This window comes from Homo sapiens, chromosome 4, assembly GCF_000001405.40.
Source record: "Homo sapiens chromosome 4, GRCh38.p14 Primary Assembly".
NCBI classification, from domain to species: domain Eukaryota; kingdom Metazoa; phylum Chordata; class Mammalia; order Primates; family Hominidae; genus Homo; species Homo sapiens.
The window spans coordinates 121,667,744-121,683,539 of NC_000004.12; the positions used below are offsets into that span (position 1 = coordinate 121,667,744).

General features: G+C 36.9%; 1 protein-coding gene across 2 annotated transcripts in view; it reads right to left on the reverse strand.

Annotated features, from left to right (window-relative positions):
• Positions 203 to 15,796, reverse strand: part of ANXA5 (annexin A5) — a 29,035-nt gene continuing 13,441 nt past the window's right edge. The window contains exons 5-13 of one of the 2 annotated variants that reach the window (NM_001154.4): positions 15,621 to 15,734; positions 13,928 to 14,018; positions 10,672 to 10,751; positions 10,151 to 10,207; positions 4,790 to 4,883; positions 3,804 to 3,899; positions 2,211 to 2,269; positions 1,859 to 1,981; positions 203 to 784 (exon numbers count right to left, since the gene is read on the reverse strand). In NM_001154.4, coding sequence (NP_001145.1) covers positions 725 to 784; positions 1,859 to 1,981; positions 2,211 to 2,269; positions 3,804 to 3,899; positions 4,790 to 4,883; positions 10,151 to 10,207; positions 10,672 to 10,751; positions 13,928 to 14,018; positions 15,621 to 15,734 — 774 coding nt within the window. In that variant the 3' untranslated portion in view covers positions 203 to 724. Of the gene's footprint in view, positions 785 to 1,858; positions 1,982 to 2,210; positions 2,270 to 3,803; positions 3,900 to 4,789; positions 4,884 to 10,150; positions 10,208 to 10,671; positions 13,066 to 13,927; positions 14,019 to 15,620; positions 15,735 to 15,796 lie in introns of those variants that run through there. The other variant, XM_017008141.3, reaches the window with a different exon arrangement.

The following is a 15,796-nucleotide window of genomic DNA, read 5'->3' on the forward strand; positions in this document are numbered from 1 at the left end:
CCACAAGCATTGCTTTAATAGATGCCTAAATAAACATGGTGCAAATAAACCAGAGACCCCTTCGATCTTTCCTATATTTAGGAAAAATCATGTACTATGAAGGAAATTCAGTCTATGGTTTGCATTTCTTACTGCCCAAAAGACCAACTGTAAATTCAGTTCTCAACTAACACCACTGTCAATTATTAGCTTAAAAAGAGAGAACATTGTTAAATAAATTTAATAATAAATCTAAACACACATGTACACATAATTCAGGGGGACAGAAATGTTTATTTTTCATTAATCTTTTGAATACAATCATCATAATTTTACAGGTTTAGTTTAGTTGCGAACTTCACTAATAACATTTCCAAGAGTTCACAATTTCAAGGCTAAGCTTCTGATTAAAGTATCATGGTTACAAATGTAATATAAATGGAGTTTTTAAAAAAGGCTAAAAGCACTCTAGCCTCTTAAAAAATATATATAAATGGAAAATGGCCAGGCATTAAACTTAGTAACATTAAGTACACTTTAGTACTACAGCAGTCAAAGAGATCTCCACTAGAGATCAGAAAGAAGCACCACTATTTTCTTCTATGACGTGTATGTGTTGGTCATGAGCATGCTAGTATGAATAAGGCAATGTGTTAAGCACTGGCATACAAATGCAGCTAAAGGTGCTGAAGGAAGGCAGTGGGGTGGTGCAGGCACACAGCAGGGAGCTCTTCCCCGTGACACGTTAGTCATCTTCTCCACAGAGCAGCAGAAGAGCTTTCTTATAGTCCCCAGATGTATCTCCCTGAAACCAAATGTATTCCATTAACCTCCATGACTCACAGAAGCCATAGAAAATTTTAAAACTAAATAACTGGCAACAAATTTTATTCATAAGACTCTTCTCCCAAGTGGGTAATCTCTGTGACTTTCACATCAGGAATGTTATGCAGGGAGTTTCCTACCAATGTAACCTCAGACACTCAGTATTCCCTCTGGTAACACAAAGAATCAGGCAACTTTAACAACTATAGTCAAATCAAGCCTTCTAGACAGAATAGTTTCTATCACTTGGTATATATCAGCTAACACGGGCAGTGCTGGGGCTGCAGGGCTGTCATGGCTCTCCCTCCGAGACAGAAGGGCAGAACATGCTTTGCATCTGCTTGTCTCACATGCAGACATGCATGATAAATTAATGTTTCAAGCTAAAAGTGCATGGGTAAACTCTCTAGTGTCCTTTGGGCCAGCCAAACCACAAACATGCTAAACTAAAAGCTTCTGCTCAATTGAAATCTTGCTTTGCACATGGTCCACATTAACCTTTACTGGAAAAAAAAAAAAAAAGTCAAAAGACTTTAAGCTAAATGTAATTATAGGCCACAGAGCACCTTGTTTTAAAAAGAACAAAAATGATACTAATACCTAGGGGCTCTTTACTCCCAATATGACCTGGTTGGCTCTTTCCTGAATTAGAAACCAGCATCAGAGATAAGGTGATAACAGACGATAAAGAAAGGAAAAGCTGATATGAAATAAAAGAAGGACTAATAAAGACAGCTGGAATTGATAAAAGACAGAAAGAACACATTATTATCATAGGCAAGGGGTTTGGTTTGTTGAGTCATCTGTTACCACTACTAAATAATGCTTCTGAGTTCACCAAGAGCCTCAGCCACATCAATACCCATGCTTTCACTTGGGAGCCATCATCTCTACTTCAGGAAACATTATGCTAAGCTTTTTAACTCATTGCTCTAATCGTGTCACTAAAATTTTAAACTTAACACAAGAATCAGGTTCTCTTATCCTTGTCTTTCATGCAACATACCAGTCTGCTTTGGATTCCCAAACGTAATTTAAAGAAAGGTTCTACTACCTTAATCATGGAATAAAGAGAGGTGGCAAAATTCTTCCTAAACTCCTTCCTGATGTTAAACAGATCAATCTCACTCCTGGAAACCATGACTCTGATGAGGGTATGATCATCTGTCCCAGCTCCCTTTAAAAAAAAAAAAAAAGAGAGAAGCAAAATGCTTAAAAACTTCAAACATAGGATCAAATGCTCCCGGGTGCGGGTGAATCAATAAGGTATAACAATTTAGTAGAACTGGGTTGAATGTTATAAGGGAAAAATTCCCAAGGTCTATCATCTAAAACATAAACAAAAGTGAAGAATAATAATTAGAAAGAGAAATGTATTAGATAGAAGGTTCATGGTCTCCACTTACCTTCATAGCATAATAGAGGGTCTCTGCAAGGTAGGCAGGTATACTTCGAATAGATTTCACTAAGAAAATAAACAATACAATGGTCAAATGCTATTTTGATATGTAAAGGATTAAGTAATTAAAAATCAAGTGCTGCTTCCTGCTTATAGCTCTACTTCTATAAAAACACAAAAGTACCAGAGGCTAAAGAGCTGTAAGCTAATCTGATTTCCTCACTCACCAAGTATTTTCTTAGACACTGGCTTAGGTTTTCCTTGGAGTTCTGAGGTCTGCATAGAAAGGCATGGAGAATAAGGGCACAGGTTTTTCTATGCGCCTTGGTTCTGTGAAGACTTTTTGGATACTGCAGTTTGGGCAGCCTGGATTGTTATCATAATACCACAACATTCTTCATCACCAATAAATTACACAAATCCCTTGGAAGTTTTCATTCCAAGACATTAAAGCAAATAATACAAGATTACTACCTAATTTTTTTAAACTCTTGGGTGATCTTCCTATACTCTCTACATATTCTTTAATATCAATGATTCACACAGAGCAGCATGAGATTTATCCATTTCAGTACAAAAACAGATAAATCAATATCAGAAAGGATCTCTTCTCTGAACATGTACATGTTGAATGTAGGTTGGGGCTGCTCAGACCTCAGTCTGCTTAGCTTCAGAAAATCTATCATGAAAATTCCTTAATATACAAAAATAATCCTTGCATGTGGAGATTTCTTAATTCTCCCTTTTCTAAGTCTTAAGAAAAACAGCCACCAGTAACTGAAAATGTCTTAATTTGTATGCGTATTCTAATTATGAAGGACCTGTCTAAAAGTTTTCTGGTAAAAGTACATTAACTGTGTACTCAAGTGAAAGGCTACTTTTAGAGTTGGTTCATGCAGATCTTTAGCTTAGTCTCCTGAAGACAGAGAGCACAAAAGTGTGAGCTCAAGGCCAAATACTTGGAACAAACAGCAGACAGAGGCTCACTGCAGACCCATATGAACAAAAGGACCACAGGAGACTCACAAACTAGATTCTCCCTAGCTTTGGAGTACATAATACTGCAATCAACTGCACAGATTCAGTTCTCCAATTTTTCCAGATTATTCTGAATATTTAATTAAAATAAAACTAAATTATTTAATTTGAAAACAACCATCATCACATCTTCTATTACATCAAAGATATTCTTCTTTTCTAAACCAGATGACAATTTCTTAGTCTGCCTCAAAGCTGAGAGAACAGTATTCAAAAAAATTCTAAAATTCCACAGGTATCAGAAATAATGTTTACAAGCCTCTGAGATAATGTCCACGACATTTCAGGTTTATCAATAAATAATATTTTTAATGCAGCTTCAAAATGATTTTTAAACAATTATCTTAGTATTTCCATAGGATTTAGATGAACTAACCAGACAATCCTGTATTTCCAACATCAAAATAAATTTCTGAATTGGAAATTTGGGAGTTTGCTTCCCCTAAATATCATATCAAGCTCTTCCTTCACACCTAGGTGGTTATTTTCAGATGCAGCCTCAATTGAATAAAATGCTTTAGCTCTTACCACCAAAAATATCAATACATTGTAAATCACCTACCAACAGCAAGGAGTAGTTGCTCTAAATTGCCAGAAGTCTCGCGGTCAATGGTTTCCTCAATTTGAAATCCTGATATAGTCATGTACTTGTCAAACACTAGAAAAAATAAAAATGATTCCCTAATCATGTAGGGATCACTCTTTCCAGAAAGATGGTATTTACTTTGATTAGGTAGTGTCTTACTGAACACAAATCTCCCCTTCTTCCTTGCTGACAGAACCTTGTGCTCAAAGCCTCAATGTGCCAAGCCCTAAGCAATGGATTGTAAATATACTTTGTTCACTGATTGCCAGCCCCCTTACGAGTTATAGCCAATGAGACCTAAAGGTAAATCTACTGGAGGGGATGCTGAGAAATCTCCTCACTTACAAAAAGTGATACACAGATAGGACTAGTTTACCCTTTTCTTTCCTTCCTGCTGTGAAATGGTTAAGTTTGGAGCTAGAGCAGACATCTTATGATAATGAAGAAAGAAAACCAAAACACTAGGGATAATGGAGCAAAAAGAAAAACCAGAAAGATCTCAGGTCCTGCCAAATCAACCATGGAATCCCACCTCTGGAAAAAAAGCCCAATTTTTAAAGCCACTATTAGGGTTCTCTGTCACTTGCACTAAATTCATTCCCAACTGATACCACAAGTGCTGATGACTATCCAGAGATAAGGTCCTGGGTACCAACCTCTAGGAGGAAATACGTGTAGTGAGCCACTATTCAGTGATGTGTGACTATGAGAGGAACAATCTAGAGAACTGACCTCCCTTGCCATCCTCCAATAGTGAAGGGTGGACTCAGGATCTCTAGTTTGTAAAAGCTACAACAGCAGCAAAAACAATGTTGAGATTTCTCCAGGTCACCAAAAGGAAGAAATACAAAAACTGATTCATTCTCTAAGTCCCTGCTATGTAGCAGGTATTCTGTCACACTGGCTCATGCACTTTCCAAATTTACCAATGTATCTGCCCCATACAGATTTTTTTCACTCACCCTTTCTCAAATGAGACACACTTCGTGTTCCAAAGATGGTGATAAACTTTTCTTCATCTGTCCCCCATTTAAGTTCTCCAGCCTGAAATAAAGCCTGCAAAAATTTCAAACTCAATTAATAAATTGTTCCTCCATCTCATTTCCAGGTTCTTAAACACACTTGTTTTTTACTCCCTGAATTTTAACTCACTTGATTCATCATCTTGTATTAATAGTTTTCATTTCTAATGTGTCCTACTCTGAAACTCAGCTCACTGAGTTTGGAGCACCTTTGGAGCTTGCCACTGAACTGTGCCACAGAAGATTCATGGGTCCAAGCAACAAAGCACGGCAATGGTGCAAGGTTACATGTTCCCAAAATGTCTGCCATAACCTCCAATCTTTCAGAAGCAACAGTATGGGTCAGGAGAAAGTTATGACTACCTCACTGTTGATACATCCATGTATAGACTGGGAAAGGATTTAACTGGAAGCTAAGTTGTCTGCCTTTTCTGTTTTGCTTGTTCTATAGCTGTTCAATAGCACATGAGTAAAAGTACACTTCATATTTTCTCTTTACAACTGAGATTTAACCAAGGCTAGCTATAAAATGTTTTCATATTTCCAAAGATCACAATAAATTTTTAAAAGATTGTGGGTATAGCACAGTGCCTGGCATATAGAAGCACTCAATAAGTAGTGGTTGAATAGTTTGAGTGCCCATACTTCCTTTTTGACATGGGGAAAAAATATGCTTTCTTGTGCACGTATAGCTGCCTAAAAAAATAAGCTTATATACAAACATCAACGTTAACTCTGAATCCACTTATTGACGTGAGAATAATTTATTAAAACCCAAAGAATCAACCTTTACAATGACTGTACTATCCTTTTATTCATTTCAAACTAAGTCTACATATTAAAGCAAGATGAATGCAATTTGCTGAGGCTGCTACTTGCAGTTGGCCTTATACCCACAAGCAGCAATCCAAATAAAGACAGGAAGTGATAATAACAGGCTTGAATATAGAAGTTTTGATCACAGTATATTTAAAAATGTAGATTATGGTGGTAAAGATCTATTTTTTATTATATTTCTGGAGAATAAGAAAAAAATGAGACTCATGTATCTTTATGCTCAATTTTAAAATTAATTATTTTAAAGATAAAAATGAATAATATCAATTCTGGCCATGTGAACATGCTCTTAAAACCTGAAAAGACAGTAACTCTGAAAGTCATGCATGCATCTAAACTTTAGAACTATATCATGATGACACAGACCTTTCTTAAAATAACTTTTAAAATTTAATTACAAAAACAACGCAAGTTCATTGAGAAATTTTATAAAACTAAGAAAGAACAAAAATAAGAAAATAGAAGTTGCAGGCTAGGCATAGTGGCTCATGCCTGTAATCCCAGCATTTTGGGACGCTGAGGCAGGTGGATCGCTTGAGCCCAGGAGTTCAAGACCAGCCTGGGCAACCTGTCAAAACCTGTCTCTACTAAAAATACAAAACTTATCCAGGCACGGTGGCAGATGCCTGTAATCCCAGCTACCCGGGAGGCTGTGGCAAGAGAATTGTTTGAACCCAGGAGGCAGAGGTTGCAGTGAGCCTAGATCATGGCACTGCACTCCAGCCTGGGCACGAAGGAAAGGAAAGGGGAAGAGGGAGGGGAGGGGAGGGGAGGGAGAGGGGCGGAAAGGAGAAGGGAGGGGAGGGAGAGGGGAGGGGAGGGAGAGGGGATAGGAAGGAGAAGGGAGGGGAAGGAAAGGGGAGGGTAAGGAAATGGGAGGGGAAGGAAAGGTGAAGGAAAGAAAAGGAAAAAGGAGAAAGGGGAAAGAGAAAGGAAAGAAAAGAAAAGTTGCTATTTAATATCAATTTCCTGAGGGTGCTAGTTACTACTTCTGGTATGTTTCTACATGTAGATAAAATATACAAATACATTAACACCTAAATGGGTAAAGGACTCATCTTGTACAATATCACAGACATTGATGCACACACTTCTTATCAACTGTTTTAAATGTCTAGAAATGTTCTCTAGTAGGTACAGGAGTTAAGCCTGTTATATGGGAATAATTGGTGAGATGTCAGTTATTTTTACCACAATGTTTTAATTTTCTTGGGAGAATTATGTTTGGGATCAATATCTACTGTAAAACTATTATTAAGTAATCATATGCAATAATAATGATGGCTTCTTCATGTAAAACAATGATATTTAACAGTTTTGTTTTAATCTAAGTATCCTTTCTCCTAAATGAGGATGCCCAATATTCATGGATCCATCTGGATGAGGGACCCTTACACCCCTTCCCTAAGCTTTACGGTTCAGCCTGAGTACAGTTTCATAAGCCCTGGTTCAGTGCAAAGGATGAGTCTTTGGAGTCAAAACAGATGTGGTCTATCTGCAAGATCTCAGATGAACTACTTAATCTCCTCTTCAGCCTCAGTGTATATAGTCATTAACGGAGATTATATAACTAAGATAATGCACTGAACAGTGTCAGGTAATCAGTAGCAAATGCCCAGTAAAAGTAAAAAGTGCCTGATTACTTCTCCTTCTCCCTCTTTCCTCTAAGAGTTCAACTCTCCCTCCAGAGAAAGAATAAAACAAGGATTTACTGGGGAAGAAGGTAAATCTGTTTTAATGCATTAAAAGTATTAAATCAATTTAACACATTAAAAATGTTAAAAAGTGGATTATCTACAAAACGTTCAGTTCCCAAGTGAATGACTCACTATGGCTTATCAAACCTCTCAAATAATAGAAATCTTCTTAGTGCCAGGTATCAGTAGAGACAAAAATGCAAAAGCTTATAAAAGAGCCCTTTAGCTGTCTCAGCTTACTCTCAATTAAGAAATCTCAAATTCTCACTAGTGATAACAGTCCAGCTGCCCTTGCTACGAGGTACAAGTTGGTGTGTTCCTTTTTATAATGCCAAAAGATTATTTGTTTTCAACAGGTTTATTAATTAATAATAATACATTTGAAAGAATCAAAAATAATAGCCAGTGTAACATGTTCTGTATTGCTCCTAGTCACTGGAAGGCTAAGAAAAGCTTGGATTCCATTCAAGGGATACTTTAAAGTAACTCCATAAAGCAGTTTTCACATGTACAGTCTCACATGTACTCTCAGGGTTCTGAATGGTTATATCCACTGCATGACACGTAAGTGTCACCTATACAGCCTCAGTAATCAAAGGACCAAGAATGCAGGCATTACCTGAGAGCATGTTCAAAATCCAGACTCCCAGCCCCTGCCCAGACCCATAGAATCAGAATCTGCAATTAAAGGTCCCAGGTGCGCCACATGCCCATGAAAGTTTGAGCAGCAGTGCTATCCAGTAAGTGCTCCAAGGACAGAAATCAATGAAAACAAGGTTAAAATGTACTGTTTTCCCCTCAGGAGCCTCGTGCTGCAGCAATGCTCTCATTACATCACCAACTATGCTGGGAAATCTGCCCTCTGCCTGTGAATGCAGGCCTCACTGCAGACATCTGAGAGGACTAGAGTTGGTTTCTTACACTGTGACCCTGAAAAGCTCCCAGAACTCCTATCCTACTCTTGACAGTAGGAATGAGAGAATCAGCACTATCTCCTAGCAAAGCCACAACCAATGCTTGGAAAGCAGTAAGATCACCTCAGTACTGAACAAAGCCCCTAACAGGAGTACAACTCTGTAGGGTTGCTCTAGCCCTCTTCCCGAAAGAAGGTGGAATTAAGCTAGATCTATGCTTGAGTTGATATTTAATAAGCCCTTTAATGATAGAGAAAATCAGGGAAGGCACTAATACTCAAGAACACTGAATATCTTACAGTGAAATATTCTTATAGTGAAATATTAATATTCAATAACACTGACTATCTTCTAGTGAAAGAGAAAGAGCTTTGGAGTCAGACAGGCCTCGTTAGGAATTCCAACTCCACTGCTATTCAGTGGAAGCCATGGGTTTGTTTCTTTATCCATAAAAGGGAAATTGCCCCTTTCTGGTAGAGTTATGTGCTCATTCATTCATCAGTTATTTACTGAGCACCTACTCTATGCCAGAAGCTGAGGATACAATTGAACTGACAGCTCAGGGGGCCCAGGAAGGCAGTGAAGTAAATAGATGGCTTCCAGAGAACGTGGCAAGAACTGTGACAGGAAGCCTGGGGGCGGGGGGGGGTATGGTTTTCCCTGTGAGGGGCACCTAACTCTAAAGTATCTAAGCTGAAGACTGACTCTTGAAGAGGACTCAGGTGAAGCGGGGTGGGAGGGGCAAGAGGGCAGAGAGAGCATGTGAGAGAGGCTGGAGGCATAAGTAAACAACACACAGATAACAAAGGGGCTTGTAACCCATTCAGGAACCCGGACTTTATCCTGAGGGCAATGGAACCACCAGAGTCTGAAGGGGCTGGACACAATTGGCTTGCATTTTCTAAGACAGAGTGAAGCAAGAGTCAAATACTGCACAGAGAGCCCTCGGTAAACATTCAGTTCTTTTTTTCTCTCCAGCTAGACAGAGATGACAGCATTCTGAAACCATTATAAAATCAACCTACCCAAAAGAATAACCGCTCTCCTCTTTCCTGTTAGCAAAGTGAGATCGCATATCCATGGGTTGTTCCACTGGAGGAATGAATATGGCTCTTCCTTTTTCAATGATACATGACAAACAACCAAGAATTGTATATTCTCTTAATTGAAACATGTGACCAGAAAGAGGTCTATGATTGGTGGTTCTAGGAACCCAAGTAATTCCTTTATTACCAATTTCCAGTTTTCAGCTCTCATGTTTCAAATTTCCTTTCCTATATTTTAATAACTGTTTTATTAACCAGACTGAGACTTTATAGGGGTTTATAAGTCACTTAAGAGGAAATTTTCATTTGGAGTCACTAAAAAGCTGCTGACAGAAGACCAATCCTACTTAAAATTCTGTCGAAGGAAATGCAGAGAAATTTCCTAATACCAAAATAACTTGTCATCTCTTATGTAATTAAACACCACTTACTGTTAAATACTTTATTCTTTCTTCTTTATCTTCTCCTGCTAAGAGACCCACTGCATAATTGGCAGTGGAAGTAATAACACTGTTTTTTGGTAAAATTCTCTATTTTGTGAATGTTCAATAATCACAAAAAAAAACATGTCTAGTTGGAACTCACTATATAATTTATTTTATTTCGTTTCAGCTTTAAGGTAAAATATTTTGCTGACCAGGTCAGAATAAGAAAAAGCTACTTATGTAGGTCTTATGCTATGTAAATAACCCATTAACAAGATTATCACTAGAAGCTATTACAACATACATTGTGATTTTTCATTACCATGAATTATTTCTTCATTTCTACAGCATAATAAAGTCATCATATCCTGGTGTCACTCACCTGAGCATCTTGTTCAACTTGAGCTTCATCAATTCCAGCATCAGGGTCTCTGTTAGCCTATGAGAGGTAATATGTCACATTACTGAACTATAGAGCATTCTCATTCAAAAGGAAAAATGGTTCCACCTGATGGTTATTCAATAACACTCTTTCTCTAGGAATAATATGCTTTTATTAAGATCAATCCTGCACTATTTCACGTTATCATCACCCAGCACTGTCCAAAACCAATAATGACCCTACTGATTTTAAATTCTATGAAAGAACAAGATACCGCTATCATTCTATGAAAGGAACAAGATACTACTATCTAAAACATGTATGAGTTAGCTGTTAAGAATTTAGACCAGATATTCTGAAACACAAACAAGCACAGGCAACATACAGTCAGAATCATCGCAGTAAGAATCAGCAAGTACCACAAATTATTAAAAGAATTTTAAGTGACCTTACTTAACTAGATTCAGCCCAGTCCAACTTCAGGCTTTTTAATCAAACTGTAATTAATCTCCACGCAATACCTGAAGGAGAACCACCAACATCCGCTGGTAGTACCCTGAAGTGTCCCCCACCACGTCATCTTCCAGGCTTGAGCCATATTCTGCAACAAAATAATTTCATACTTATTTACATCTTCTTTCAACTAGAAAAGTAATCTTGCCCCATTAATCAAATGAAAGCGATGTAAAAGAAGAAATAATTATATTTGGTTAACATAAATTCCCTCTATTCCATCTCTGAATGCTCTAAGCAAATGCTTTCAGTGAGTGGTTGGACAAAAATGAATTAAAGTCTCCCAAAGGCACTCAATTCAAACTTAAATCAAGACTCAGCCATTTAGAAATTCTCTCGACCAATGTAGTCATTAATCTATAGATACATGATGGTACTGGAAAGTCTCCAAAACACAATCAATCATAAGCTTAAACTCTGTTTTGCTTTCTTTCAAATCTTTTATATGGTTAGCTTCCAAATGTCTTCTATCTCTAATATTCTGAGATTTATTTCTTTGGGCATGGCCATCACTCCTAATAAGGTATTTTTCCTCTGCAGAAATAAAGTTAACTCTTGAGAGACAGCAATGATATTTTAAAGTAGGCCCCCCTCCCACCTCTATTTCCAGCTGCTCAATGTAAGCCCATATAAAAGGGGAGAACTGGGATCTACAAGAGTCTACAAGTCTTTCTCACTACTCTCAAACAGATGCTATTAAAGGAAAGGAGGCCTTACTCTAAGGTATTTAAATATTTAATTATTATGCAAAAGCAAACGAACTTTAAAAGCCTGAAACTTCTATTTTAAAAGGCCCAGAAGAGTTACATGTTTATTTCAACAAGTTACCCAAATACAAAACCTTGTAGGAATCTTTAATTCTTTCTTCTACACCAACACCTGTAAATATTAACCATTAAATCCTATCACGTTTCTCCTGTCCCTGATTTATCCTCCTCACACCTCTCACTCACCTAGGTTGGGCCACAATTCCTAAATACCTAGCTTACCTCCCACACACATAACTATCCAATTAGCCTCTCAATTCAAATCTCCTTCCTCCCTCAATTGTTCCTTCAGCACTCCACTGCTCATTCAGGAATTTACAGTGCCTGTGAATTAAGTCCAAATTCCTAATCCAGTCATGCAAAACCATCTATATCTGAGCCTAACCTCGCTTGTTCCATTTACCTCCCACAATGGACATGCACACATCCTCCACAGCAGCCAGGCCCTCTCCGTCCCTCAATACACTCTCCACAGTCCAGTCTCCATGCCATTAAAGACAGGCAGTACCTCACCCAAAAATATCTTTTCTACCTACTCAAAATGCACCTAGTCTTTTTTTCCCAGCTTTATTGAGTTATGATGGACAAATAAAAATTGTATATATTTAAGGTATACACCATGATGTTTTCATATATGTGTACGTTGTGAAATGATTACCACAATCAAGTTAATCAGCATATCCATCACTTCATATAGTCTATATTTTTGTGTGTGGTGAGGACATTTAAAATATACTGTATTCACAAATTTCAAGCATATAATAGTTATACTTTCACTATAGTCACCACGCTGTTCATGAGATCCCCAGAACTTATTCATCCTGCCTAACTAAAATCGTGTATGCTTTGACCAATATTTCACCAGTCCCTTCTCCCATTCACCCCACCCCTACACCCTAGCAAACACTGTTTTACTATCTGTTTCTATGAGTTCAATTTTTTTAGATTCAACATAAGAAGTGAGATCATGCATAGCTTATGCCTTGTGCCTAGCTTATTTCACTTTGCATTATGTCCTCCACGTTTATCCATGATGTTGAAATGACAGGATTTCCCCTCTTTAAGACTGAACAGTACTCCTGTGTGTGTGTGTCTGTGTTTGTGTGTGTGTGTGTACGTATTCTTTATCTATTCATCTGTCAATGGACACTTTGTAAACCCACCTAGTCTTGAAACTCTGCTGCATGTGTGATTTGTACCATGAAGCCTCCCTAACATCCAAAGCTATGATGACCTCTCTCTTCTGAATGCATTATTGCATTTAACATCATTGGTATTTTACTTTAGTTTGAATTTCATTATCCTTTAAATATTGCAGTCATTCTGTCATGTCACCCACTGAGGAGACTGCACACAAACTGCTTGAGGACAGGAGCTGTGTTATGCACACCTTTTGTCACTCATGACAGCCTGTTAACACACTGCCAGACACATAGCCAGTGCTCAATTACACGGCTGAGTAGGACAGACCACACAGTTATTACCCCCTTTGAGCACACCATTTGTAATCCAGTAGCACAAAGGCTCTCATCAACGTCAACATCCCCAGAAAGAGATCTTTGAATAGTACATCAAATAAAGTTCAAAGTTGAGATACATGTATCACTTCTGCCTTAGCGGTTGGGAACTTACTGCCTATAAAAAGAGAAGCAGGAAAGAGAGATTCAGCCCTTTAGAAAGGTAATTATACAGTTGCTCTAAACAATTTTTTGCTGTTTTGACTTGCTGGGTTAACAAAGCCATTTCTAAGATTAACAAACTAATGGCAAGATACAGCCCCTAGCAAAAGACACTAGGCTTGGAGTCTGTTGACTGAGCTGAGAAACTGGATAGTCTGACCCTCCTCAGTCAGGCAGGAGAAAGAGTTGGCTACAAGAAATCTGGTAAGAAAAGGACTCTCTACCTCTACTTTTTACTTCATTTTCTTGATTCTATTCATGAGACATATTTTAGGCCGAAATGCAGATTTCTGTTCATATAAAAGACACACTAAAAAGAAAAATCAAAATGCAGAATATTTTATTCAAGCACTGCCATTAGCTAAGACAACATACATTTACTCAAATGTACTTTATCAACTCTGATGTGGGAAAGGGTTTAGGTTTCTCTTCCAAAGTTCCAAAAGTACTTTTTATATAACTCCTAAATTTTGCTAGCATAAAGCTAAATATTTTTAAAGGAGGAAAAACCATTTTTACCTTAATGTTAACATAAAGACAACCTGTATATCCCTACACTAATTGCAAATCCTATGCAAAAGTAAACTCCATCTTCAGCAGTAGCTTCTTATAAAATATGAAAATAGTAGAGGATAACAAGGCAGTCTTTTCCTTACTGAAGGAGAAAAATAGCTTGAATTGCAGGTCATTCATTCATTCATTCATTCATCCATCATTTACTGCGTGCCTCCCATACCTACAAAGGACTGCATTCAAATCACAGAAATGAAGGAAGTGATAGTGGAGGTGAAGTCAAAATATAACTCACAAACATTTACCTTCTTCATAAACTTGTTTGATGGCTCTCAGTTCTTCAGGTGTCCTTGAAGCAATAATTTCTGTCAGTACTTTTTCATTTGTTCCAGCTCCCTGTTTGGAGATTTTAATAGAGAAAACATGTCAATAAGATTAAAAAGAAAGTTATTAAAAGAAAGTTATAGATGTTACCCAAATTGCATAGTTATATAAATATTATCCAGTATAACATGGATTTCTTTGTATATGAGTTCTATTAGTTATAGAAATAACAAGTTTTAAATGATTTTCTCTCCAAAGACCATTTTATTCTTTTTGCCTAATGGAAAACAATGTTTATCATGTGTATGTGTGTATATATGTGTACGTATACATAACCAGTTACATAAATTTGTAACTTTTAATTTGATCAGTTAATTCTAGCTTAAAAGTAAAACATTTTCATGAAACATGAAGTAATTTTTTAAAAACCGAAAGAGTAAAAATGAAAACTTCACGTAAATGTACATGGAAGAGCACTGATACTTAATAAGCACCTCAAAAGATAAACCCCTGACCCCCAAGTTAAGTGCTGTGCAGTCACAGGAAAATTCTACATCAAAGGTAACAATAAATATAGCAATACTTAATTATTAGGAATTAGAACAGTATAAAGGAATTGGGACTTGCTTTCTGGATTTTTGAAAAATCATTTTAGTTGGCTTTCCTTTTTCTGCTTTTAAAAATCACATCTATATGATTAAACTAAGAGATGCAACGATATAGCTGGACTTAATTTTTTTTAAAAGATAGTATATTGAAGCCTTATTTTCTTTATATTTCTATTTTTTGCCAAAAATCAAGCACTGAAAAACCTAGAGTTCATTCTCTGGCAGAATTTCAACTACTGCTGACATTTCAGAAGTACTTAGCAAAAAAAGTGCTTTTCTCAATAACCTCAGATTTTTGTTTATTCCAAAAGAATCACCATAGGAAAATGAAGAGACTGAGCACAAACCAGCTCCTATCAGGATGACCCTTCTCCTCTCTCCACTCCATCAGTAAGAATCCCTGAGAAACATTATTTCCTTGTTAAATCTCAATGTGCCCATTCAAAATCTAACAGCTAACAACTGAACTACTTCCTGTCCCATGAGCCTAAACAAATGTGTCAATGCCTTCATATTTATACAACATTCCAAACACCAGTCAAGGGAATACATATTTAATTTTTGCTGCAACTGAAATTATAGCAAGTTTACCAGCTACTTCATTTTAGTGTTTAGAGGGGCAGGAAAGAAGGAAAGAGTATGAGAAAATATTTATCTTGAAAATTCTCTCTGAAGCTTTACCTTTTAACCTAAAATGATGAGCAATATTATGGTTCCCTAATCAGGCAATTTTCTACTGAAAAAGATAAAATAGCTCATCTGTAATATTTTTTAAACATCCTCAAAATCAGAAGACAGGCATGAAAATAAAATACAAAAAGCTATAAAAATATGAAAATTTTAAACAGCCCAGTATTATTGAGTTTAAATCTACAAAAAGATGAAATGACACACGTGTAATTTTCTCCCTCCTTTACTGCTTATTGCCTCCCAGTTTTGTCTGCCAAGCAACTCTCACTGAAATAATCAGATAAAATTTTTTAAATATAACAAATAAGAGGAAGTAATTACCAAAACAAAATAATACTATCTATGCAAGAATGTTCCTTTCACTCATCCTTTTTACCTTCAAGGCATGTTTCAGTTCATAAGCATCATAAAGCCGAGAGGGTTTCATCAGAGCCACAATTAATTTTTCAAATTTTCCAGTTAGTTCTGATTTCAGGTCATCCAGAAGATCCTAACCCACAGAAAATACAAATTTGTTAACCAGCAGAAATTGTAATAAGATTCTTCTTAAAT